The sequence below is a fragment of the Homo sapiens genome, chromosome 3 (genome assembly GCF_000001405.40).
Source record: "Homo sapiens chromosome 3, GRCh38.p14 Primary Assembly".
Taxonomy (NCBI): Eukaryota; Metazoa; Chordata; class Mammalia; order Primates; family Hominidae; genus Homo; species Homo sapiens.
Genome location: NC_000003.12, coordinates 137626557 through 137651835, shown reverse-complemented (window position 1 = coordinate 137651835; position 25279 = coordinate 137626557). Strand labels below are relative to the sequence as shown.

Genomic DNA, 25279 nt, shown 5'->3' with positions numbered 1-25279 from the left:
ATCCTCTGAGGGAGAGAAACAAGTGTCAGCTCCCCACTGAGGGTGATGGGAAATCCACCAGCATCTCAGAGGTGTGTGGTGGCATCATGTCTGGGGACTCAACAAAATGGACTTAGACGAGCCATCTCTCTTTACCCACACATGGTAGAGAGGGCATGTATTAGCCCCCTTTATGAGGACTTAGAGTGTGTTTGGAGGAGATTGCCATTGTCAGAACAGCAGAGAGGAAAAAAGTGAGTGCTTTCCAGTCAGATATTGTGGGTTCCAAATCCAGCACCAAGAATTACTAGTTCTGGGCAAGTAACATAGGCCTTCTCAGCATTTCTCCACCAATAAAAACAGATAATAGTAGTATCCCCCTGGTAAAGATGGTGTGAAGGTTAAATGACATAATAAATGAAAAGTTCTTGGTACAATGCCTAACATACAGTAAATGTGAATTAGATGTTAGGTGTTATTAATATTTCTCCCCCCATCTCCCGGAGCTATGTGTCCTAGGCTAAAGCAATGAAAGGAAATCTGTAACTCAATTCAAGGCTGAGAAAGAGACAGTTACTATGTTAGTATACTAAGGCAGTTGAGATGTCTTATGGTTTCCTAGTTGTGCTACTGGCTCACTAAGATAGCCTCCCTCCATTCCTCTCTCCTACTCTTCCTACCTGGCAGAGAAACTGGGAGGGGCAGAGAATGACTGACAGCCCTTTTGGGGGTTTGTGACACTGTTGGAGGTGGGAACTGGGTGAGGGGCTTGGAGACAGGGTTAAGGATTGGGAGACTGTGGGAAAGGGAAAATGACCCAAGGACAGGATTCATGGGTATTCTTTGACATCTGAAGGGTTGGTCACAATACCTATAACAAGGCCCTTAACTAGTGAAAGGCACACTGAGGCAGCCTGCCTCTTTCAGGGAGAGTACTCAGAAGACCAGTACCTAAAGGCAGCCTGCCTCTGCTGAATGCAGTGAGATATACATAACTGGTAATGGAAGCAGGTTGTCAATGGGGCAGTGTTGTCAGTGTCATAAGAATATGCTGATGTGGTATGGAGTGGGTGGCTGCTCTTCCCCAGATTCTTCTGACCTCCTGCCAGGATTTCTCTCTGGTGAAGGCAGGTTGCAAAGAACCTGTTCTGGCCAACATAACATCTATTTAGTTACTGGATATACCATAAACTTCCTTCCACACTGAGAAGGATACTGACTGAGTTAACACAGGGAAAAGTTTAATTAAGAGAACATAATGGAGAATGGGGACAAAGAGGGGAAACTAGATGGAAAACTGCACAAGTAGGCAGTCACTGAGGAAGGGCAAGCAGGAGTGGAATGGTGGGTAGGTGAGGGAGCCTCACCATCCCCTTGAGAGTGTAGGGACCCATTTCCTCTGTTAATATTTTTTTGCCAGTTGAGATTGGGCAAAACTGTGAGTTTTAGAGCCTAATTTCTGCAGCAGCTGAGCTGCCTGAGAGCTTCCTGGAACTACTATTGCTATTTATTTTCTCCGAGCCCTGTGTTTAAGGCGTGATGAAAAACAGCCTAACGGCCAAAGCACAACTGCCCCATATGAGAGACCATTAAGATAAAGTCCCACGTAAGTTACCCTAATAAAAGAAATTTATCACAAGACATAGAGAGGAAGGTGTCTTTATTCACTAGGTGAATAGCACCAGGCATTGTCAATGTGGCTTTTCAAGGCTCAGAAATTATCATTCATTCTCCAAATTACCAACTGCACAAAAATTACTAAATGGTGCGTTATCACTCCCTCTCAGCGAGAGAATGTCTTTGTTTAACGTTTGATTACAAATGGCTTTCCTACAATTATCATCAATAAATCACAGGTAAGTGTATCCATGGCTGGGACTGATGTAGGAAGACTTTGTGAGCTACTGGGAGAAGGAAAAACCAAAAGCATGTGACAGCGAACACTCAGAGTGCTGCACTTTTAGGACTTATTTTTTGGGGGTCTTGTAAGTATATCTCGGAAAGGCATTGATTGTGTCCCTTAAAAGAAGGTGGGAAGTTCTGTAGTGGTTTGGTGATGTGCCTTCAGCCCCATTTGTGTATGAGAAAGAGAGTGTACGAAAAAGGGAGAAAAGTATCAGCATGTGCAAGAATGGATTTGTCAGTGTGAGACAAGCAGGAAAAGAAAGTCAAGGAGGAGGGAGAGAAGTAGAAGGCATGGAGGAGAACTAGGGGACAGAGGAGGGCAAAGAGAGGGAGGAGGCTGACAGAGAGGAAGACAAGGAAAAAGAAGGAGCACTCCCCATCCCTGACCTACCTCTGAGCTATGCCTCAGTTGGCTCTAAGGCACTCCCCAGAGACCACAATCCCAGGCCTCCTGCAACTCTCTGCCCACTCCCTATTTACTAGCCCTCAGTTACTTTTGCTTGCCACCTTGGCTCGCCAGTTCTCATCTCTAGACCCAGGCTTTGGGGATGTGCTTGTATCTCTTCTACTTTTAGAATGTCCTTTGTGTCTTTTTTTTTTTTTTCCTTTACAGTGATTCCAGCTCTCCCTTCCTTAGTGCCTCACGTTGCCACACATTTTTCTTAATTATTTAGATATATCTGCAGCTTAAGAAGAAAAACTATTCTACAGCCTGGCCCCCAAAAACCTGAGGTTAGACTAATGCATAGGGAGTTTCCATGGGAACTGAATGTGAGGTTGTTGTGTTGGTTGTAAATTTAGCTTCATGACACCTGTAGGTGAGGGCATTCTTGTCTGAAGAATGTGATAATATAGTCTGAGAGCCAGCTCTGAAAAATCTGGTGAACAGTAGTGCCAATAACCATTAAGAGATGTTTTGAAAAGTCTGTTGTGGGTTAGGGATGCGGAGAAGGATGACACATGCCTTGCTCTCAGCTTCCTGACGTCCTAGAAGAAGAGGAACAGTTTGAGCAAAGGTACACAGGAGAGAGCATGAATGGAGCCCAGAGTTCTACATGGGAAATTATGAGAACTACATCAACAAGGCTGGCTGGAGAGACTGGGAAAAATTTTAAGAGATCTCAAAAAAGAAATTCAGAAGTGTGGGTTTGGTTATATAGGTCACTAAGAATCTTTAAGAAGAGAGAAAATTAAAGCAATGGAATTATGATCACTATTGTTAGGAGATAGTGAGATTAGAGGATGATCTCCCCATTCCTTGGTTCCTTATTCATTCATCCCTTCATTCATCCATTCAGCAAATATTTATTAAAGGCCTACTGTATGCCAGGTACTGTAGTGAGGTATCATGGTGAGGTAAAGATATAGTTCCTGTCCTCAAGAAGCTTATGCTCCTGGAGAAAAAAGAAACAAATGAAGTAATTACAATTTATAATAAGTGCTGTGGAGAAAATAAACAGGATAAGGACACAGGGAGTAACTGGTGTATGGAGAGCTACACATACTCTAGTTAGGGTGGTAGGGTTTCACCTCTCTGTAAAGGCATAAATTTGAGCTGGGACTCTAAAGATGAGAACAACCAACCTCCATAAGGAACATCCTCAAGAGGGGATTTGAAGGACAGAGAGAGGTGGAGGTTACTAGCAATAATCCAGAAAAGTGACGATGCTTTAGACCCAGGGTCAATAGTGTGACTCAAGTCTTAACAGGCCATTTTGGAGGCAAAATTGAAAATTGACTGAAAAGGAATGAAATGGAGTGACTCTTTTACCTCCTGTCCTGGATCTGCTCACAGTGCCTCCAACTCAAGTGCACACGTGGCCAGTGCTTTCTACCCAGGTCTCTTTAGATATGGGAACTGGGGCAGTCTCCATGTGGTCTCTCAGCACAGGTATTTGACAGTCAGGCTTCACCCTGATTCAGCAGTGCCTGCTGTGTGTGGTTCTGCTTCCAAGACCTAGTTCAGATTATGCTGCAAATATTACCAACCAGGACACTGGTTAAGGGTAGACACTTATTTTGCAAAATTAGCAAACTATAGGCAACAAAAAAAAAAGCCATGCAGTTTCCATTTACCACAAATATTTATCTTAACCCTCCACTTCTATTTATAAAAATTTGCCAAAATATAATTTAAATTCCTAAATGATTTCAGAGATTTTTTTACAATGAATTATTAAACACCCACATATTAAAACTAAATGTGGCCTAAACTCTGGGGACTCTTGAGGATTTAAATATGATGCATGTTCCAGACAAAGAATGAGAGAGAATGATGGAGCGGGAGATCCAAGACCCTACAAAGAGTGCAAGAAAGAAAGAACCAGCCTGTGAATGAGAGACAAAGGGAGATGGCAATAGAGAAGTAAATGATACAAAAGAGTGGGGGTGGAGGGAAAAGAGATTGAGAGAGAGACAGAGCCAAGGAAGGGGAAGGAGGGGGTGGCAGCAGGCCTGCTGCCTATGAAGGGGACACAGTGTGGAGATTAAGATCTCTATCGGAGCTTGTGGCTGGAGCGATTACAGTGTATTAGGGTCCTGTCAGTGTTGACAAACACTGCCCCAATTAGGAATTAGTTCCACAAGGCATCAGATAGCAGGGCTGCTGTTGACCTGTAAATAGACTGGCCCTCCCTTCCCTCTCTCTTATTTAAATAGGCGCAGCTGCTCCTAGCCTAGCCCAGGAAGCCCAGCCTCCACGGCCCTTCCTACAGCAGCCACCAGGGAATAGGAGTGGGTACCAATCGCCTGGTGTTCTAATTTGTTTTAAACACCAGTATTCTGGTAAATGCATGTACTTTTCCTAAAAATGCATGTTCAACAGTCACAAGAATTCTTTCTACCCACACTCTATCCAGTATCAATTCCAAGGCCCCTTTTTAAAAAACCATTGTTTCAAGGACATGTAAGTAGTGTCTAGGGGAAGTGCCCATTTCACAGCAAACAGTCGCTAACCAATTTAAAAGTACACACTACAGACTCATCTCCCCTTCTGCAAGTCTGTGGGAATGATAGAAAAGAGATGTAGTTCTTATGGAAAAAGAATCCAAACCCAGAATGTAAAATAAGAGGTGTCATCAATGCATTCGAAACTATGGGGAATCCTAGAGAGATGAAAGTCAGATGGAATCAGACAGAAGCAGGAAATATGTGCAGAAGAGCATTGCTGCACAGGAGGGTGTGGTTGCTGGGGAGCAGTAAGCCTCAGGTGGAAGATCCCTGGGCAAGAGGGACTGGATGGGACAGCTGATAATGTGTGTGTGTGGTTGTATAGGGGCCAAAGCAGGAACCTCCTCTGGCAGGGGAACATGACTTCAACTTGGTCATCTGTCAAGGCAGGCAACAAGCCACAAATGGAGGAGGATGGGCTTTTAGTCAGGGAGGAAGTACAGTGCTTCAGGAGGCTGGTGTTTCCATAAGAACCCAATATCCAGGAATCCAACTCCTGGCTCACACTGCCTGATGCATGTTCTTTGCCTCCCAACAATCTTTGGAGGCTGGCTAAGGGGATCACACACACAGAGATGAGCATACAAGGAAGAGTCCCTGAACATTTGAGGAAAGCCAAGGCTATGAAAGAGATGCCACAAACTCAGTAAGTTCATGGGCCACTACCAGGAAATTAGCCTAATTAAAAGCAAAAAAACCAGGACATTAGAATAAACATAATTAAAAGAGAGTCATAGAGGCTTCTGTATCCATAATAATCAACTAGAGATATGGAAAACTAAAATGTTTATTTTTGAACCAAAAATTAAATAGACAGTTTGAGTAGCAGAATGGAAACAGTTAAAGAGGAAACAAGTAAGCTAGAAGACCAAGCTGAGCAATTCTCCTAGAAAGCAAAATATGAAAGAAACATTAAGGCACCTGGCATGTGTTCTAACACACATTTGATAGGAACTGAGAGATAGGTCACTAGAAAATCTATCTACCTCACAACCAAGCAAAACCAAACAGAAACACAGGGTCAATGAATAAATCTATAATCACAGTGAAAAACCTTAACTTACTACACTCACAATCATTAGAAGTAATAGGATAAAATGAAATGAATGAAGGAATGTAAAGAAAGTTGCCTAACATAATTAACATACTTGCCTTACTCTGATAGAGAAAACGTTATTTTTAAACCAAACAGACTTCGCAAAATTGACCATGTTTTAGGTTACAAAAAAACTGGACAAATTCCAGAAAACTTATATGATTTGTACTTATTGATCACAAGGCAATAAAAATATAAATTAACAACCAAAGGAAAACTTTGTCCTTGAAAATAAAAAATTATGTTTCTAAATAACTTTGTAGCTGAAAAGGAGGTAAGAATGGTCATTACCAATTCTGAAAATGCACAAAATTAAGGACACACTTACTAAAGTCTATGAGTAGGGACAGAGACAGAGGAGAATGCACAGCATTACAAGAATTTATTAGAACACAATAAATATTAAAAATAAGCTAAGTATTCAATTTAAGAAACTAGAAAAATGACAACAAAATTACTCCAAATAAATTAGGAAAAAAGAATTAGTAAAAATGAAAGTAGAAATTATTTAATTATGAAATAAAAAGCAGAGTAGATAAATGCAACCACAAGCTGGTTTTTGAAAATACAAGATTACTAAACTATATAAATATTTGGCAAATACAATTAAGGAAAAAAGAAAGAAGGCATAAATAAACAAAAATTTAAAAGAAACATGACAACATACATAGGAGATAAAATTACAAAGTACAACCTTATTCCAATAAATTAAAAATATAGACAAAAATGCTTAGGGAAATATAAATCATAAAAATTTGCTCAAAAACAAAAAACCTGACTAGAACAATAATCACAGAAGTAATTGAAGGAGTAATAAAACAATTATACCTCTAAAAAGGGCATGAGTTCCTGACAGTGTTAAGGATGAGTTTTGTCAAATTTTTAAGGAACAGATAATTTTCATGCCATATACATTGTTCCAAAATATAGGAAAGAAAAAAAAAAAGATTGACGGCAGCTACTTAATCATTTTATGAAGTTAGCAAGCCTGACAAAACCTACCATTACAGCACCATTAAACTGCTGGCCAATCTCACATGTGAATTTAGATCCAAAATTCTATAACAAATACTTCTGCAGTAAATACCTTGTTGTTTTATATATGCTGCTATGTTCATATGTCCAAGATATTGTTCCATAAAAGAGTTGTAGGAAAATGTGCATAGTATTACCCAAATTTGTGTATTCATGTAAGTTTGTTGCATTTGAATTGCCAGAAGGCTACTCAAGAAACTGTTAATAGTAATTATTTCTGGGGAGTAGAGGAGTATGAATGTAGAGAATGGGGAGGGAGATGGGCACATTTACTTCTCACTTTACACCTTGTGTTCTGTTTGAACTTTTTTTTTTTTAATCATGAATGTGTTTACTTTTAAATTTTTAAAAACCAAATGGAGGAAAAAATAAATGGTTTTGACTGATCACTGATCAGGGATCTTATTTCCAGAACTTCTGTAAGACTTGATGATTCTCTCATTATGAGAATTAAAATGTGTATTTTTGAAAACTATCCCCTTGACTTGGAAAAGAGATTTGTTTTTTGGGATCCCAAGGAGCAGAGCTAGGTAGAATGAGTAGAGAATTCAAGGAGACAGGCCAGGCGCGGTGGCTCACGCCTGTAATCCCAGCACTTTGGGAGGCCGAGGCGGGCAGATCACCTGAGGTGGGGAGTTTGAGACCAGCCTGACCAACATGGAGAAACGCCGTCTCTACTAAAAATACAAAATTAGCCAGGTGTGGTGGTGCAAGCCTTTTATCCCAGCTACTCAGGAGGCTGAGGCAGGAGAATCATTTGAACCTGGGAGGCAGAGGTTGCAGTGAGCCGAGATCGCGCCTTTGCACTCCAGCCTGGGCAACAAGAGAGAAACTCTGTCTCAAAAAAAAAACAAAAACAAAAAGAAAAAGAAAAATAGAATTAAAGGAGACAGATGCCAAGCGTAATGTGAGGAAGAACTTTTTTCAAATTAGAGATATCCAAAGAGAAATAAACCCCTCTGGGAGGAACTGTTTCCTTTCAGGAAGAAGACAGATGAGGCCAGAAGAGGGTAGATATTTTAACCTTGAGATTTCGGCTTCTTCCCTTAAACCTGATTATTCAGGTCTAAAAGGGGTTAGTCCTTGTTCCATATATTTGAGTATATTTGAAATCCTTCTCTAAGAAAACTCACACATGATTAGTGTGAGAAATGTAAAGTACTACAAAAACTAAAGATATATTGTTTTTAGCATATTAATCAGTAAGAGCCTTAACTCCTCATTTAGGTTAGTTCTTCCATGTTTTCAAAAAATGTTTACATATTTACCATTACTTTAAAATCCTTACCACAATCTGGTTAAATAAATAGGACAAATATTGTCTCTATCCCTAAGAAGAGCAAACTGAGTTTGAGCAGTTAAGCTCAAATTCACACAGCCAGTTCTCACTAATTCAGGGAAGGTGATCTTATTCATGCCTCCAAACTCAGGGTTCATGTGAATTGCATCACCAGCTTCACAATGTAAAAATATTGGTCAACAGAATTAAACTTATCTGTCACAAATGTAACGAGTAGGTGGCATACTTAGAGCCAAAGAAAATCTGGGTGCTTTGTTTCTTCTTTCTGAATGATTTATCTGGATGAGCAGGAGGGGTTGTTGTCCAAATTATTAGGCGTTCTTTTCAAACAACCTTTTCCTTTGCACTGGATAGATCTGGCCTGGGAAAGCAACATCTCGGATAGCCACGTGGGCCTTCAGGTTGGGTGAAAGCCAGGCTGCTTTGATCTACTCATGTAGTCCTAGTAGCTTCAGACAATTTCCCGGCTAGGCTTTGTCACCAGCGGATGAATCATTCATTGGAAGTTGCTAATAGCCTGGGAAACAGCAATCGGATTGGGGTAAATGGTTGAGTGGTGTTATTTGCGAGTTGTTTACACTAGACTGTAGAGTAACTCAAGGGCCAACTGGCCTTAAGTGAATTATTGACACAGCCTGCGTCAGGCCTGAGGGAGCTGCAATTAATGCATTAATCACACGGAGCCCCCCGAGCCCCGCATGTTAACACAGGGGATTTAGTAGCACTCCACTAAGTTGTTGATGAGGCCTGTGGCGGGATGAAAACCCTTAGAATACAAATGTGACATCCCATGCCCTTTATTTGTTAGTCAATAATTTGAATAACCCCAGTTTCACAGCTTCTGTGTTGGATTTGCTGTTCCTTTCTCTCCTCCGCTAATCGCCAGCGAGGAGCGATACGGTAGAGAGTTTAACTTTGATTTGAACCCCCCTCCCCCTCCCCCTAAATAAAAGCACAGGTTTTTATCCACATGCGTATATTGCACAGACATCAAAGAAAAAAAAAAAAGCCTCATGCATTTCCATTAAAGCCGCGCGGACCAGGGGGAAGCACCAAGCTGGGTGCGGGCTTTTGAGGCGGTGGAAATTGATAAGGTTCATCTGCATACAAAAGGCTGAATGGAGAGGCAGCAGGGTGAGCGAGGTCGGACACCCAGATGGATTTTTTAATTCTGGGGAAAATAACACCACGCTCACAAGTGATAACTGAGCCTTTCTTCCCAACTCAGACCAAAATATGATTTCCATTTGTGCATTGGAGGAGAAGAAAATTATACAGAATTTCATTCTGCGGTATAATAAGGCTTCACACTGAATAATGCTACCATAAGGCAGTGTAATTACTGAAGGGCAGAAAATACACTTTCAGTTTATATCTAATCACAATACCACATTGTCTGCTTAGGAAAAAAAAAATCTGGGGTGGGGGTGCGGCATGTTGCTAGACTGTGAGTAGGACCCTGGGGAGTTTGTGGGTCTGGGTCTTATCAGAGTCCTGAGAAAAGGTGAGGGTTTGGCTGACTTGGGGCCTTATCTAAGACAGGTTGCATCAGGGAGGTAGTAGGCGCCTCTCTGCTCATTGAGAATCCCTGGGTTCTGAGATTTGTTGCTAGTCTTCTAAAATGACCTGTCCTAATCTTTACTGACTCATTAAAATCATGGCTACTGCACCCAATGATCAAGTAAATGTGTTTGAAGGCCAAGAAGCTGAGACTCTTCAGGGACTAAAAGAGAAAATATCGGCCAAATTATTACTGTTGTTTGACTGGACTATTGAAATGGCCGAAGAGTATTTTTGGTATGTTTTTCTTGAACGTTCATACTTGATGGACTACAAATTTTTCCTTCCATTTTGAGGTCTGTTTCTTGTCCACTTAAAAATAATATGTTGGACGGGCGTGGTGGCTCACTCTTGTAATCCCAGCTCTTTCGGAGGTTGAGGCAGGCGGAACACTTGAGGCCAGGAGTTCGAGGCCAGTCTGGCCAACATGGCAAAACCCCATATCTACTAAAAGTACAAAAATTAGCCGGGTGTGGTGGTGCACGCCTGTAGTCCCAGTTACTCGGGAGACTGAGGGCAGGAGAATCTTGAACCTGGGAGGCAGAGGTTGCAGTGAGCCAAGATGGCACCACTACACTCCAGCCTGGGCCACAGAGGAAGACCCTGTCGCAAAAAAAAAGGTTATTATAGAATATTTGGAAACAGAAAAGTTCAGTGGAGACATCAATTATTCTACCACCCAGTCAAAAACAACTGGTAATAGTTTGGTGGATTTTTCTTTGTGATGTGTGTGCTTTGTTTTATTTCTTCTTGAATAATAGGGTCCAGTTTCCACGGTGCCAGAGCTTGTTTCCACAATGAATATTAAAAACAATTCTGGTTTGAAACCACTGTACTTTAGAGTTTTATTTTATGTGCGGTGGAAGAAGCCTCTAGACTTATCAGGCTCTAGCCCCGTGGTTCTTACATGTGAGTGTGCATTAGAATCACCCCAAGGGCTCATTAAAACACAGATTGCTGGGTGTAACTTCAGAGTTTCTGAATCAGTAAGTCTAGAGTGAGGCCAAGATTCTGTATTAATGTTCCCCACGATGCTGATGCTGCTCTGGATACCACTTTTTGAGGACCACTGCCTTTGAATAAAGGGGACAGGGTTGAGGAAAGCACAGGAAATGAAAGCTCTCAAGGCACCTGAAAAGGGTATTTCTGCAGAGGAAATCCATAGATTTTGGGGAGGATCTGAACATAGTATTTTGTAACTGTTTGTAGAACAAGTTTATTTGAATTTTAGTCTCAGATTCTCCTGAAGACCTTCTTCAACAGTGCTTATAGCAAGCTGACTTAGCAGATCGATGTGTCTCTTCCTCCAGTCTTGATTATTGTAGCTATATATTAAGTCCTGAAATCAGAGAGAGTGGTTCTTCTCACTTTATTGTTCTTTTTCAAAAAATTTTAGCTATTCTAATTCCTTTGCTTTTCCATATGAATTTTAGAATAGTTCTACCTATATCTACAAAATTCTTGCTGGTGTTTTGATGGAAACTGCATTAAAACTGTGTATCAGTTGGGCATAATTGATGTCTTTACTATGTTGAACTGCTAATCCATGAACAGTATCTATCCATTTATTTCAATCTTTCATTTCTTTCATCAGCATACAAGCTGCAGTATTTTGTCAGATTTACACGTAATTATTTCATTTTATTTTGAGTAATTATAAATAGTGTTGTATTTTGATACAGAAAAAGCATTTGACAACATTTAACACTCATTCTAATAAAAATTCTCAGAAAACTAGGAATAGGGGGAACTTCCTCAACTTGTAAAGGGAGCCTATAGAAAACCTACAGCTAACATCATACTTAATAATGAATGACTAAATGCTTTTTCCCTAAATCACGAATAAGGCAAGGATGTCTGTTCTCACTACTGCTATTCAACACGGTACACCTAGCCAAGGCAATAAACTAAGAACAGGAAAAGAAAAAATGAAACTCTATTTGTAGATCACATGATTATCTACATTGAAAATTACAAGAAATCTACCCCCAAAATCCTAAATCTAGTAAGCGTAAATTTAGGAAGGTCATAGGATATAAAACATAGACAAATCTATCATATTTCCACGCTAACAATAAATATATGAAAACCAAATCAATAATCTACTTTCTGACTCTATAGATTTGCCTGTTCTGGATGTTTTATATAAATAGAATCATAAATTATGTTTTCCTTTGTTACTGGCTTCTTTCACTCAGTGTAATGTTTTCAAGGTTCATTGATGCTGCAGCATGTATGAGTGCTTCGCTTCTTTTTACTACTTAATAATACTCCATTGTGGAGGAGCCAAGATGGCTGAATAGGAACAGCTCCAGTCTACAGCTCCCAGCGTGAGCAACGCAGAAGACGGGTGATTTCCGCATTTCCATCTGAGGTACCGGGTTCATCTCACTAGGGAGTACCAGACAGTGGGCGCAGGCCAGTGGGTGCACGCACTGTGCGCGAGCCGAAGCAGGGCGAGGCATTGCCTCACCTGGGAAGCGAAAGGGGTCAGGGAGTTCCCTTTCCGAGTCAAAGAAAGGGGTGACGGACGCACCTGGAAAATCGGGTCACTCCCACCCGAATATTGCGCTTTTCAGACCGGCTTAAAAAACGGCGCACCACGAGACTATATCCCACACCTGGCTCGGAGGGTCCTACGCCCATGGAGTCTCGCTGATTGCTAGCACAGCAGTCTGAGATCAAACTGCAAGGTGGCAGCGAGGCTGGGGCAGGGGCGCCCGCCATTGCCCAAGCTTGCTTAGGTAAAAAAAGCAGCCGGGAAGCTTGAACTGGGTGGAGTCCACCACAGCTCAAGGAGGCCTGCCTGCCACTGTAGGCTCCACCTCTGGGGGCAGGGCACAGACAAACAAAAAGACAGCAGTAACCTCTGCAGACTTAAATGTCCCTGTCTGACAGCTTTGAAGAGAGCAGTGGTTCTCCCAGCACGCAGCTGGAGATCTGAGAACCGGCAGACTGCCTCCTCAAGTGGGTCCCTGACCCCTGACCCCCGAGCAGCCTAACTGGGAGGCACCCCCCAGCAGGAGCACACTGACACGTCACACGGCAGGGTATTCCAACAGACCTGCAGCTGAGGGTCCTGTCTGTTAGAAGGAAAACTAACAAACAGAAAGGACATCCACACCGAAGACCCATCTGTACATCACTATCATCAAAGACCAAAAGTAGATAAAACCACAAAGATGGGGAAAAAACAGAACAGAAAAACTGGAAACTCTAAAACGCAGAGCGTCTCTCCTCCTCCAAAGGAACGCAGTTCCTCACCAGCAACGGAACAAAGCTGGATGGAGAATGACTTTGACGAGCTGAGAGAAGAAGGCTTCAGACGATCGAATTACTCTGAGCTACGGGAGGACATTCAAACCAAAGGCAAAGAAGTTGAAAACTTTGAAAAAAATTTAGAAGAATGTATAACTAGAATAACCAATACAGAGAAGTGCTTAAAGGAGCTGATGGAGCTGAAAACCAAGGCTCGAGAACTACGTGAAGAATGCAGAAGCCTCAGGAGCCGATGTGATCAACTGGAAGAAAGGGTATCAGCAATGGAAGATGAAATGAATGAAATGAAGCGAGAAGGGAAGTTTAGAGAAAAACGAATAAAAAGAAATGAGCAAAGCCTCCAAGAAATATGGGACTATGTGAAAAGACCAAATCTACGTCTGATTGGTGTACCTGAAAGTGATGGGGAGAATGGAACCAAGTTGGAAAACACTCTGCAGGATATTATCCAGGAGAACTTCCCCAATCTAGCAAGGCAGGCCAACGTTCAGATTCAGGAAATACAGAGAACGCCACAAAGATACTCCTCGAGAAGAGCAACTCCAAGACACATAATTGTCAGATTCACCAAAGTTGAAATGAAGGAAAAAATGTTAAGGGCAGCCAGAGAGAAAGGTCGGGTTACCCTCAAAGGGAAGCCCATCAGACTAACAGCGGATCTCTCGGCAGAAACCCTACAAGCCAGAAGAGAGTGGGGGCCAATATTCAACATTCTTAAAGAAAAGAATTTTCAACCCAGAATTTCATATCCAGCCAAACTAAGCTTCATAAGTGAAGGAGAAATAAAATACTTTACAGACAAGCAAATGCTGAGAGATTTTGTCACCACCAGGCCTGCCCTAAAAGAGCTCCTGAAGGAAGCGCTAAACATGGAAAGGAACAACCAGTACCAGCCGCTGCAAAATCATGCCAAAATGTAAAGACCATCGAGACTAGGAAGAAACTGCATCAACTAACGAGCAAAATCACCAGCTAACATCATAATGCCAGGATCAAATTCACACATAACAATATTAACTTTAAATGTAAATGGACTAAATTCTCCAATTAAAAGACACAGACTGGCAAGTTGGATAAAGAGTCAAGACCCATCAGTGTGCTGTATTCAGGAAACCCATCTCACGTGCAGAGACACACATAGGCTCAAAATAAAAGGATGGAGGAAGATCTACCAAGCAAATGGAAAACAAAAAAAGGCAGGGGTTGCAATCCTAGTCTCTGATAAAACAGTCTTTAAACCAACAAAGATCAAAACAGACAAAGAAGGCCATTACATAATGGTAAAGGGATCAATTCAACAAAAAGAGCTAACTATCCTAAATATATATGCACCCAATACAGGAGCACCCAGATTCATAAAGCAAGTCCTGAGTGACCTACAAAGAGACTTAGACTCCCACGCATTAATAATGGGAGACTTTAACACCCCACTGTCAACATTAGACAGATCAACGAGACAGAAAGTCAACAAGGATACCCAGGAATTGAACTCAGCTCTGCACCAAGCGGACCTAACAGACATCTACAGAACTCTCCACCCCAAATCAACAGAATATACATTTTTTTCAGCACCACACCACACCTATTCCAAAATTGACCACATAGTTGGAAGTAAAGCTCTCCTCAGCAAATGTAAAAGAACAGAAATTATAACAAACTATCTCTCAGACCACAGTGCAATCAAACTAGAACTCAGGATTAAGAATCTCACTCAAAGCCGCTCAACTACATGGAAACTGAACAACCTGCTCCTGAATGACTACTGGGTACATAACGAAATGAAGGCAGAAATAAAGATGTTCTTTGAAACCAACGAGAACAAAGACACAACATACCAGAATCTCTGGGACGCATTCAAAGCAGTGTGTAGAGGGAAATTTATAGCACTAAATGCCCACAAGAGAAAGCAGGAAAGATCCAAAATTGACACCCTAACATCACAATTAAAAGAACTAGAAAAGCAAGAGCAAACACATTCAAAAGCTAGCAGAAGGCAAGAAATAACTAAAATCAGAGCAGAACTGAAGGAAATAGAGACACAAAAAACCCTTCAAAAAATCAATGAATCCAGCAGCTGGTTTTTTGAAAGGATCAACAAAATTGATAGACCGCTAGCAAGACTAATAAAGAAAAAAAGAGAGAAGAATCAAATAGACACAATAAAAAATGATAAAGGGGATATCACCACCGATCCCACAGAAATACAAACTACCATCAGAGAATACTACAAACACCTCTACGCAAATAAACTAGAAAATCTAGAAGAAATGGATACATTCCTCGACACATACACTCTCCCAAGACTAAACCAGGAAGAAGTTGAATCTCTGAATAGACCAATAACAGGAGCTGAAATTGTGGCAATAATCAATAGTTTACCAACCAAAAAGAGTCCAGGACCAGATGGATTCACAGCCGAATTCTACCAGAGGTACAAGGAAGAACTGGTACCATTCCTTCTGAAACTATTCCAATCAATAGAAAAAGAGGGAATCCTCCCTAACTCATTTTATGAGGCCAGCATCATTCTGATACCAAAGCCGGGCAGAGACACAACCAAAAAAGAGAATTTTAGACCAATATCCTTGATGAACATTGATGCAAAAATCCTCAATAAAATACTGGCAAACCGAATCCAGCAGCACATCAAAAAGCTTATCCACCATGATCAAGTGGGCTTCATCCCTGGGATGCAAGGCTGGTTCAATATAGGCAAATCAATAAATGTAATCCAGCATATAAACAGAACCAAAGACAAAAACCACATGATTATCTCAATAGATGCAGAAAAAGCCTTTGACAAAATTCAACAACCCTTCATGCTAAAAACTCTCAAGAAATTAGGTATTGATGGGACGTATTTCAAAATAATAAGAGCTATCTATGACAGACCCACAGCCAATATCATACTGAATGGGCAAAAACTGGAAGCATTCCCTTTGAAAACTGGCAGAAGACAGGGATGCCCTCTCTCACCACTCCTATTCAACATAGTGTTGGAAGTTCTGGCCAGGGCAATTAGGCAAGAGAAGGAAATAAAGGGTATCCAATTAGGAAAAGAGGAAGTCAAATTGTCCCTGTTTGCAGACGACATGATTGTATATCTAGAAAACCCCATTGTCTCAGCCCAAAATCTCCTTAAGCTGATAAGCAACTTCAGCAAAGTCTCAGGATACAAAATCAATATACAAAAATCACAAGCATTCTTATACACCAACAACAGACAGAGAGCCAAATCATGAGTGAACTCCCATTCACAATTGCTTCAAAGAGAATAAAATACCTAGGAATCCAACTTACAAGGGATGTGAAGGACCTCTTCAAGGAGAACTACAAACCACTGCTCAAGGAAATAAAAGAGGATACAAACAAATGGAAGAACATTTCATGCTCATGGGTAGGAAGAATCAATATCGTGAAAATGGCCATACTGCCCAAGGTAATTTACAGATTCAGTGCCATCCCCATCAAGCTACCAATGACTTTCTTCACAGAATTGGAAAAAACTACTTTAAAGTTCATATGGAACCAAAAAAGAGCCCGCATTGCCACGTCAATCCTAAGCCAAAAGAACAAAGCTGGAGGCATCACACTACCTGACTTCAGACTATACTACAAGGCTACAGTAACCAAAACAGCATGGTACTGGTACCAAAACAGAGATATAGATCAATGGAACAGAACAGAGCCCTCAGAAATAACGCCGCCTACCTACAACTATCTGATCTTTGACAAACCTGAGAAAAACCAGCAATGGGGAAAGGATTCCCTATTTAATAAATGGTGCTGGGAAAACTGGCTAGCCATATGTAGGAAGCTGAAACTGGATCCCTTCCTTACACCTTAGACAAAAATCAATTCAAGATGGATTAAAGATTTAAACGTTAGACCTAAAACCATAAAAACCCTAGAAGAAAACCTAGGCATGACCATTCAGGACATAGGCATGGGCAAGGACTTCATGTCTAAAACACCAAAAGCAATGGCAACAAAAGCCAAAATTGACAAATGGGATCTAATTAAACTAAAGAGCTTCTGCACAGCAAAAGAAACTACCATCAGAGTGAACAGGCAACCTACAAAATGGGAGAAAATTTTCGCAACCTACTCATCTGACAAAGGGCTAATATCCAGAATCTACAATGAACTCAAACAAATTTACAAGAAAAAAACAACCCCATCAAAAAGTGGGCGAAGGACATGAACAGATACTTCTCAAAATTAGACATTTATGCAGCCAAAAAACACATGAAAAAATGCTCATCATCACTGGCCATCAGAGAAATGCAAATCAAAACCACAATGAGATAGCATCTCACACCAGTTAGAATGGCAATCATTAAAAAGTCAGGAAAGAACAGGTGCTGGAGAGGATGTGGAGAAATAGGAACACTTTTACACTGTTGGTGGGACTGTAAACTAGTTCAACCATTGTGGAAGTCAGTGTGGCGATTCCTCAGGGATCTAGAATTAGAAATACCATTTGACCCAGCCATCCCATTACTGGGTATATACCCAAATGACTATAAATCATGCTGCTATAAAGACACATGCACACGTATGTTTATTGCAGCATTATTCACAATAGCAAAGACTTGGAACCAACCCAAATGTCCAACAATGATAGACTGGATTAAGAAAATGTGGCACATATACACCATGGAATACTATGCAGCCATAAAAAATGATGAGTTCATGTCCTTTGTAGGGACATGGATGAAATTGGAAATCATCATTCTCAGTAAACTATCGCAAGAACAAAAAACCAAACACCGCATATTCTCACTCATAGGTGGGAATTGAACAATGAGATCACATGGACACAGGAAGGGGAATATCACACTCTGGGGACTGTGGTGGGGTGGGGGGAGGGGGAGGGATAGCACTGGGAGATATACCTAATGCTAGATGACGAGTTAGTGGGTGCAGCGCACCAGCATGGCACATGTATACATATGTAACTAACCTGCACAATGTGCACATGTACCCTAAAACTTAAAGTATAATTAAAAAAAAAAGAAAAAAAAATACTCCATTGTATGTCTATACCACATTTTGTTTATCCATTCATCAGTTGATGCACATTTGGGTCATTTCCACTTTTTGGCTATTATGAATAATGCTGCTGTGAATACTCAAGGACAAATTTTTGTGCAGACATATGTTTTCTTTTGGGTATATATCTAGGAGTGGAATTGCTGGATCATATGGTAGCTCTATGTTTAACTACCAGAGGAACTGTCAAACTGTTTTCCAAAGCAGCTGTACCATGTTACATATCCACTAGCAGTGTAGGAGGGTTCCAATTTCTCCAATACTTGGCATTTGGCTACTTAGGTAAGCAGTCATATTAGTTTTAATAGTTTATCAGTTCTGTTTACTTTTATAGTTGGCAGTGATATCAGTTCTAAATGATTTGTAATATTTCTCCCTTTTTACATTAGACACAAATTTCATATTAATTTTATATAATAACATTGATAGAATACCTCTTAATCTTGATCCTGACTTTGCTGGGATTGCCACTAGTGCAGTGATTCTGAAACTTGGGTGCATATTGGAATCATCTGGGGAATATTAAATAATGCTAATGCTTGGGTTGCATCCTTAGACAGCCTCTTAGTGTAACTTGGGAATTAAGAGTTTAGAAAATTTCCTAGGGGATTCTAATGGGAGGCAATGTTTGAGAACCACTGTTCTAGTGCACACATATTTCTGTCACATCTTTTGTTACATTAAACTATAATTATGGATATCTTTTGTCTGTTTTCCCCAAGAAGGTCCTTGGGCACAGGTTTTATGTTCTATTTAACTTTAGAGTTTATTTTTATTTGATTTGTTTCTCTATCATTGGTTTTTAAATTATGACTCATAGTCTTATTTGACATTTTATCTTCAAAGTCATCACGTGCCTGAGAAATCATAACAACTTATTTAAAAATTCTGGTTAAAGAAAAGGGTCAGATAAGAGTCTGTGTCTTAAACAGTAATGATTGCAACATTCCTAAGGAAAGTTTTAGGGGACAGGGCAGAGAGTAGTTTTGACAAAAGTATCACAGATGTAAAAGTCTTTGACTTTAAGTGTCTTTGGTCTGTTGAGTCTGGTCAGAAAATCGTAGGCTTCTACTATGTTTCTACCAGGATCTCATGCCTCTGGTCAGGCATGCGCAATTTCTACCAGCTATAGGTAAGGAGGACTCACTGCTCTTTTTCAGATGCAGCCTCCTCATTTATTCCAATTGCCACAAAACATAGAAAACTGTTCTTTAGATTCAGTCCTACTGACAGTGTACATCTGATTACTGAAAAGAGGCTAGGTTTTGAACACAATGAATTAGATAGCAAAACCAAAAAATTTAGTTTTCCTTTTTATTATCAAAAAATTCAGCACTTTGGGGAGGCCAAGGCAGGCGGATCGTGAGGTTAGGAGATCGAGACCATCCTGGCTAACTCGGTGAAACCCCATCTCTACTAAAAATACAAAAAAAAAAAAATTAGCCAGGTGTGGTGGTGGGCGCCTGTAGTCCCAGCTACTTGGGGGGCTGAGGCAGGAAAGTGGTGTGAACCCGGGAGGCGGAGCTTGCAGTGAGCCAAGATCGCGCCACTATACTCCAGCCTAGGTGACAAAGCAGGTCTCCATCTCAAAAAAAAAAAAAAATCAAATGAAAACAAGAGAGTTGTGTTTGTTGTTTTCTGCTATTCTTTTATTCTTTCTTATGAACTGGGCAATATATTTTAAAAGAATTTCAGAATTACATAGCTTTTTTTTTTCTACTTTCCCCAAATCAAGTACAATTAAATATATGGTGAAGAAACTATTTTAAATTTATGTTTAAGATGGAAGTTTTACTAATCAGAAATATGTTCAATTGCAAGTATGCAAAATCTCATTACAATGGCTAAAACAAAAGTAACTTTAGTTTTCTCATCTAACAAGAAATCTGGATGTGGGTAGCTGTTGGCATTGGTTGTGTTGCTAAATAATTGCGTTGGTTACATATTCCAACCTTCCTATCTTTAGAGAGTTCACTTTTATCTTCATGCATGTTGCTTCATGGTAGCAAGATAGTTGTTGAAAATCCAGAGAGCTGGTTTGTCTTCAAGGCAGGAAGAAAAGGGGAGGACAAAGAATAGCGGCAGCTGCATCTGACATCCCCTTCTCTGTTTTTAAAAACCAGGATACAAAAAGCTTTTCAGAAAATCTGTAGGAAGTGTCACTGTCATTGGCCAGAACTATGTCACCTGGCCACTTCTACATACAGTGGGGATTGAGAAAGTGACTATCTCACGTGGGACTGGAAACATGGCTACCTCAAACCAAGTTGAGCTTTGTTAGCAAGGAATAATCAGGATATAAGTATAGAGAAATCTATTTAGTTTAAATAAGTTTTTAAAGTTTTCTTCTACTTCTCTGACCGGTTCTTCTTGCTCTCTAATTTATCCTTCTGTACCAGATTTTTAAAGGTTAGGATTTGTTAAACCTTGTCCTAGTCCCTCTTATTTTTTTATTTTATATTCTACTTAGGATTTACTCCCAAAACCTTCACCCTGTAAAACTTGATGAATCCCAAATTTATATCCTCATCCAAGAACTCTCTTGTAAGCTCCAAAATTTAAAAAGAGATATTATCAAAAATTGAATCTGGAAGGCAGAGGTTGCAGTGAGCCAAGATTGTGCCACTGAACTCCAGCCTGGGTGACAGAGTGAGACTCTGTCTCAAAAAGAAAAAAAAAATTAATTGAATAATTATAAGCAAACTTGTTTTATTAAACTTTGCAGATACTGTGCTTTTTACAAAGTGAAGGTTTGTGGCAATCCTACATCAAGCAAGGCACCATTTTTCTATCAGCATGTGCTTATTTCATGTCTCCTTACCACATTTTGGTAATTCTTAAAGTATTTCAAGCTTTTCATTATTACTGTATTTTTTTATGGTGATCTATGATCAGTGATCATTGATGTCATTATTGTAATTATTTTGGGGCACCATGAGCCATGCTCTTAAGAGACAGTGAACTTAATGGATAAATGTGGTAGGTGTTCTTACTGCTCCACTGACCAGCTGGTCTCCTATCTCTCTCTCTCATCGAGCCTACGTACTCCCTGAGACACAAAAACATTGAAATTAGGCCAGTTAATAACACTACCATGACCTCTAAGTGTTCAAGTAAGAGGAAGAGTCACACTTATTTCACCTTAAATCAAAAGCTAGAAATGACTAAGTTTAGTGAAGAAGGCATGTGGAAAGCCAAGATAGACCAAAGCTAGGCCTCTTGTGTCAGACAGTTAGTCAAGCTATGAATGCAAAGGAAAAGTTCTTGAAGGAAATTAAATGTCCTACTCCAGTGAACACATAATGATAAGAAAGCAAAACATCGTTACTGCTGATATGAAGAAAGTTTGAGTGGTCCGGATAGAAGATCAAACCATCCAAACATTCCCTTAAGCCAAAGCCTAATTCAAAACAAGGCCTTAACTCTCTTTACTCTTATGAAGGAGGAGAGAGTTGGGGAAGCTGCAAAAATAAAGTTGGAAGCCGGCAGAAGTTAGTTCATGAAGTTTAAGGAAAGAAGCCATCCCATAACATAAAAGCGCAAGGTGAAGCAGCAAGTGCCAATATAGAAGCTGCAGCAAGTAATTCAGAAAATCTTGCTAAGATAACTGATGATAGTGGCTATACTAAACAATAGATTTTCAATGTAGATGAAACAGCCTTATATTTGAAGAAAATGCCATCAAGAATTTTCATAGCTAGAGAGAAGTCAACGCCTGGCTTCAAAGCTTCAAAAAACAGGCTGACTTTCTTGTTAGGGGCTCATGCAGCTGGTAACTTTAAGTTGAAGCTAATGCTCACTGACCATTACAAAAATCCTGGAACCTTTAATCATACTAAATCTACTATGCCTGTTCTCTATAAATGGAACAACAAAGCCTGGATGACAGCATATCTGTTTACAGCATGGTTTACTGAATATTTTAAGCCACTGTTGAGACCTACTGCTCAGAAAAAAATTTCCTTTCAAAATATTACTGCTCATCCAAAATGTACCTGCTCACCTAAGAGCTCCAGTGGAGATGTACAAGGAGATTCATGCTGTTTTCCTGCCTGCTAACACAACATCCATTCTGCACCTCATGATCAGGAGTAATTTCAACTTTCAAGTCTTATTATTTAAGAAATACATTTAGTAAGACAATAGCTGTCACAGATAGTTATTCCTCTGATAAATCTGGGCAAAGCAAATTGGAAAACTTCTGGAAAGGATTAACCATTCCAGGTTCCATTAAGAACTTTTGTGATTCTTGGGAGAAGGTCAAAATATTTACATTAACTAGAGTTTGGAAGAAGTTGATTCCAACCCTTATAGATGACTTTAAGGGTTCAAAACTTTACTGGAGGAAGTAACTGCAGATGTGATGGAAACAGCAAGAGGTAAAATTAGAAGTATGGCCTGAAGATGTGACTGAATTGCTGCAATCTCATGATCAAACTTAAGCATATGTGATGTTGCTTCTAATGGGTGAGCAAAGAAAGTGGTTTCTTGAGATAGAATCTACTCCTGTTGAAGATGCTGTAAAAATTGTTGAACTGACAACAAAGGACTTAGAACATTACATAAACTTAGTTGATACAGCAGCAGGAGAGTTTGAGAGCATTGACTCCAATTTATAAAGCAGTTCTACTTTGGATAAAATGCTATCAAAGAGCATTGCATGCTACAGATAATCTTTTGTGTGAAAGGAAAAGTCAAACTTCATTCTTGTCTTATTTTAAGAAATCACCATAGCCACCCTAACTGTCAGCAGCCACCACCCCGAGCAGTCAGCAGCCATCAACTTTGAGTCAAGGTCCTTCACTGTCAAAAAGATTATAGCTTGCCAAAGGCTTGGATGATTGTTAGCATTTTTTAGCAATAAAGTATTGTAAATTAAGGTGTATACTTTTTTTTGGGACATAATGCTATTGCACACTTAGTAGACTACAATATAGCATAAACATAATTTTTATATGCACTGGGAAACCAAAAATTTGGTGCGACTTGTTTTATTATGATATTCACTTTATTGTAATGGCCTAGAGCTGAACCCACCCACAAAATCTTTAGGTATGCCTGTACTTAATTGATGTCTATCTTTTCTAATGAAAGTGCTGGTACTGTGTGTCTTTTAATCACTGTTCTATTCCAATGTCTAGCCCTGTAACTTCTACATCATGAGTGCTCATAAAGTATTTTATAAATGAAAGAGAATATTTTCTAAGCTAGTAACCATGAGACACATCCCCAGCCACCAGTTGGTATAGATAGCATGATGAGCAATGCCGTATCTTAGTGTGTAGTTTTATGCCAATAATGCTGAAACTCTAAGCATAGAGACTTTCTAACCCTTAGCATTGGCTCAGTCCGGGCCTGCACTTTGCTCTGTGAGCAAATTGAGCATATATGCTGTTGTGCTGCCTATACTCCCCATGTCTGGTGTGTTGGGAGCAGCCTAGCCACTCCAAACTAACAGGGCTGTGGCCATTCTCTAATGCCCACTATTCCGGTCCATTCATAGGTCTGTGATCTGGTCTGGTTTCCTGACAGGTATTCCAGGCCTCTCTTACTTGAACTCTGTCTCTTTGGGAACTTTGCTTACATTTTCCAGCTCTTTCTTGGGCTAAATTTTGTACTTTAAATCCTCAGCGATTACTATTGAAAACTCATAAGGTTTTATCTTCACTTATTCAGGGATGACCTCCAAATTATTATCTCTAGCTCATCCTATTGGATCTTTCCACTAGGGTACTCAAAAGACCATCAAAATCAACATGAAGAATCATGTCTTCCCAAGCACTTCTCTCTTCTGGTTGTCTTTTCATGATCATCAAACTTGTCCAAGCTAGAAATGTGAGAAGCATCATATGCCATCCTTTTCTTTAACCCCCACATCTAAGCAGTGAAGTCCTACTGAGCATAAATCCTAAATATTTCTCAATCCAATTCTTTCTTTCCATTCTTACTATCATAGCCCTTGCTGAGACATTATGATAGAAATCTGACATTATCTCTTCTTGTTTAAAGTCTGAGAAGCTCCCCATTGCCTGTGGGTCAATGCCTGAGGTCTCTGTGGTGGGGTGAATGATGACCCAATCCCCTACCAAAGGTATGTTCACCTGGAAATTATCAATGTGACCTTACTTGGAAAATGGGTCTTAATTAAGTTAAGGATCTTTGAATGAGATTGTTCTGAATTAGGATAGGTCCTAAATGTCATGACAAGTGACCTTATGAGAGAATAGAAGGGGAGAAGACATACAGAGGAGGCAGTGTGAAGACGGAGGCAGAGACTGGAGTTGTGTGTCCACAAGCCAAGGAGTGCCAAGGATTGCTGGCAGCCACTAGTTGCTAGGAGAGGCCTGAACTGGCTTCCCTCAGATGCCCCAGGAGGAATTAACCCTGTGAACATCGTGATTCCAGACTCTGGCCACCAGACTGTGAGAGAACACATTTGTTTTTTTAAGCCACCTTAGTGGTAGTTTGTTACAGCAATGGGTACTTTGTATTAGCAACTAATACACTCCTAACATGGTGAACGAGGCTCTTGGGTTCAATTGCTGTATTCCCATGCCTCAGCACTGTTGCACTGTATTTGAATTTAACTGCATGATCCATGTTTTTTCTCTGCACAGACTGCCCTTTTCCATGATTTTATCCACTTCTTCCACTCCGCCTGAAACCTGTCTGCCTGAGCCCTGCCGAGACCCAGGCCCAGTTTTCTGTCTCGGATTACTTCAGAGTTTGGCTTGGGCCTTTTCTTCAGGAATCATGCTGTGACTCGCTTAGGTGAGTTGGGGGCCCTTTTTGCTCCCTGTGCGGGTTGCTTACCTACATGGAGCAAAAGCATAAGGTACTAGAAGGAACTGTTGTTGGTACACCTGTCCTCTTCTCACATTCATGTTTGGAGCTGAATCTCATTTGAAAGCGAATCTTGAGGTTTCATGAGGCAAATATGTATTACTTTTTAGCCTTTTGAAATCTATAGGTTGTGTGAAAAGCCAAAAATGAATTCTGAAAAGAAGAAAACAATCAGCCTGCTATGGTTTGAATGTATATGCATCCCTCCAAAATTTGTATGTTGGAACTTAACCCCCAAGGTGATAGTATTCAGAGGTGGGACCCTTTGGAGGTTGTTA

At 40.3% G+C, this 25279-nt stretch overlaps 1 long non-coding RNA gene across 2 annotated transcripts in view, besides 1 other annotated feature; it reads left to right on the top strand.

Annotated features, from left to right (window-relative positions):
- LOC105374126 (uncharacterized) overlaps positions 1 to 24924 on the top strand; it is an 87216-nt gene extending 62292 nt beyond the window's left edge. For both annotated transcript variants that reach the window (XR_924533.2, XR_924532.1), the window contains one exon: positions 24776 to 24924. This is a non-coding gene — a long non-coding RNA (uncharacterized LOC105374126). The remainder of the gene's footprint in view (positions 1 to 24775) is intronic.
- Positions 4132 to 4633: an enhancer, noted in NCBI's record as "NANOG hESC enhancer chr3:137366045-137366546 (GRCh37/hg19 assembly coordinates)". NCBI's record gives its function as "activates a minimal SCP1, AML or CMV promoter by ChIP-STARR-seq in naive H9 embryonic stem cells {active_cell/tissue: H9 hESC(naive)}" and the evidence as "EXISTENCE:reporter gene assay evidence [ECO:0000049][PMID:30033119]".
- Positions 24925 to 25279: the final 355 nt, after the last annotated feature.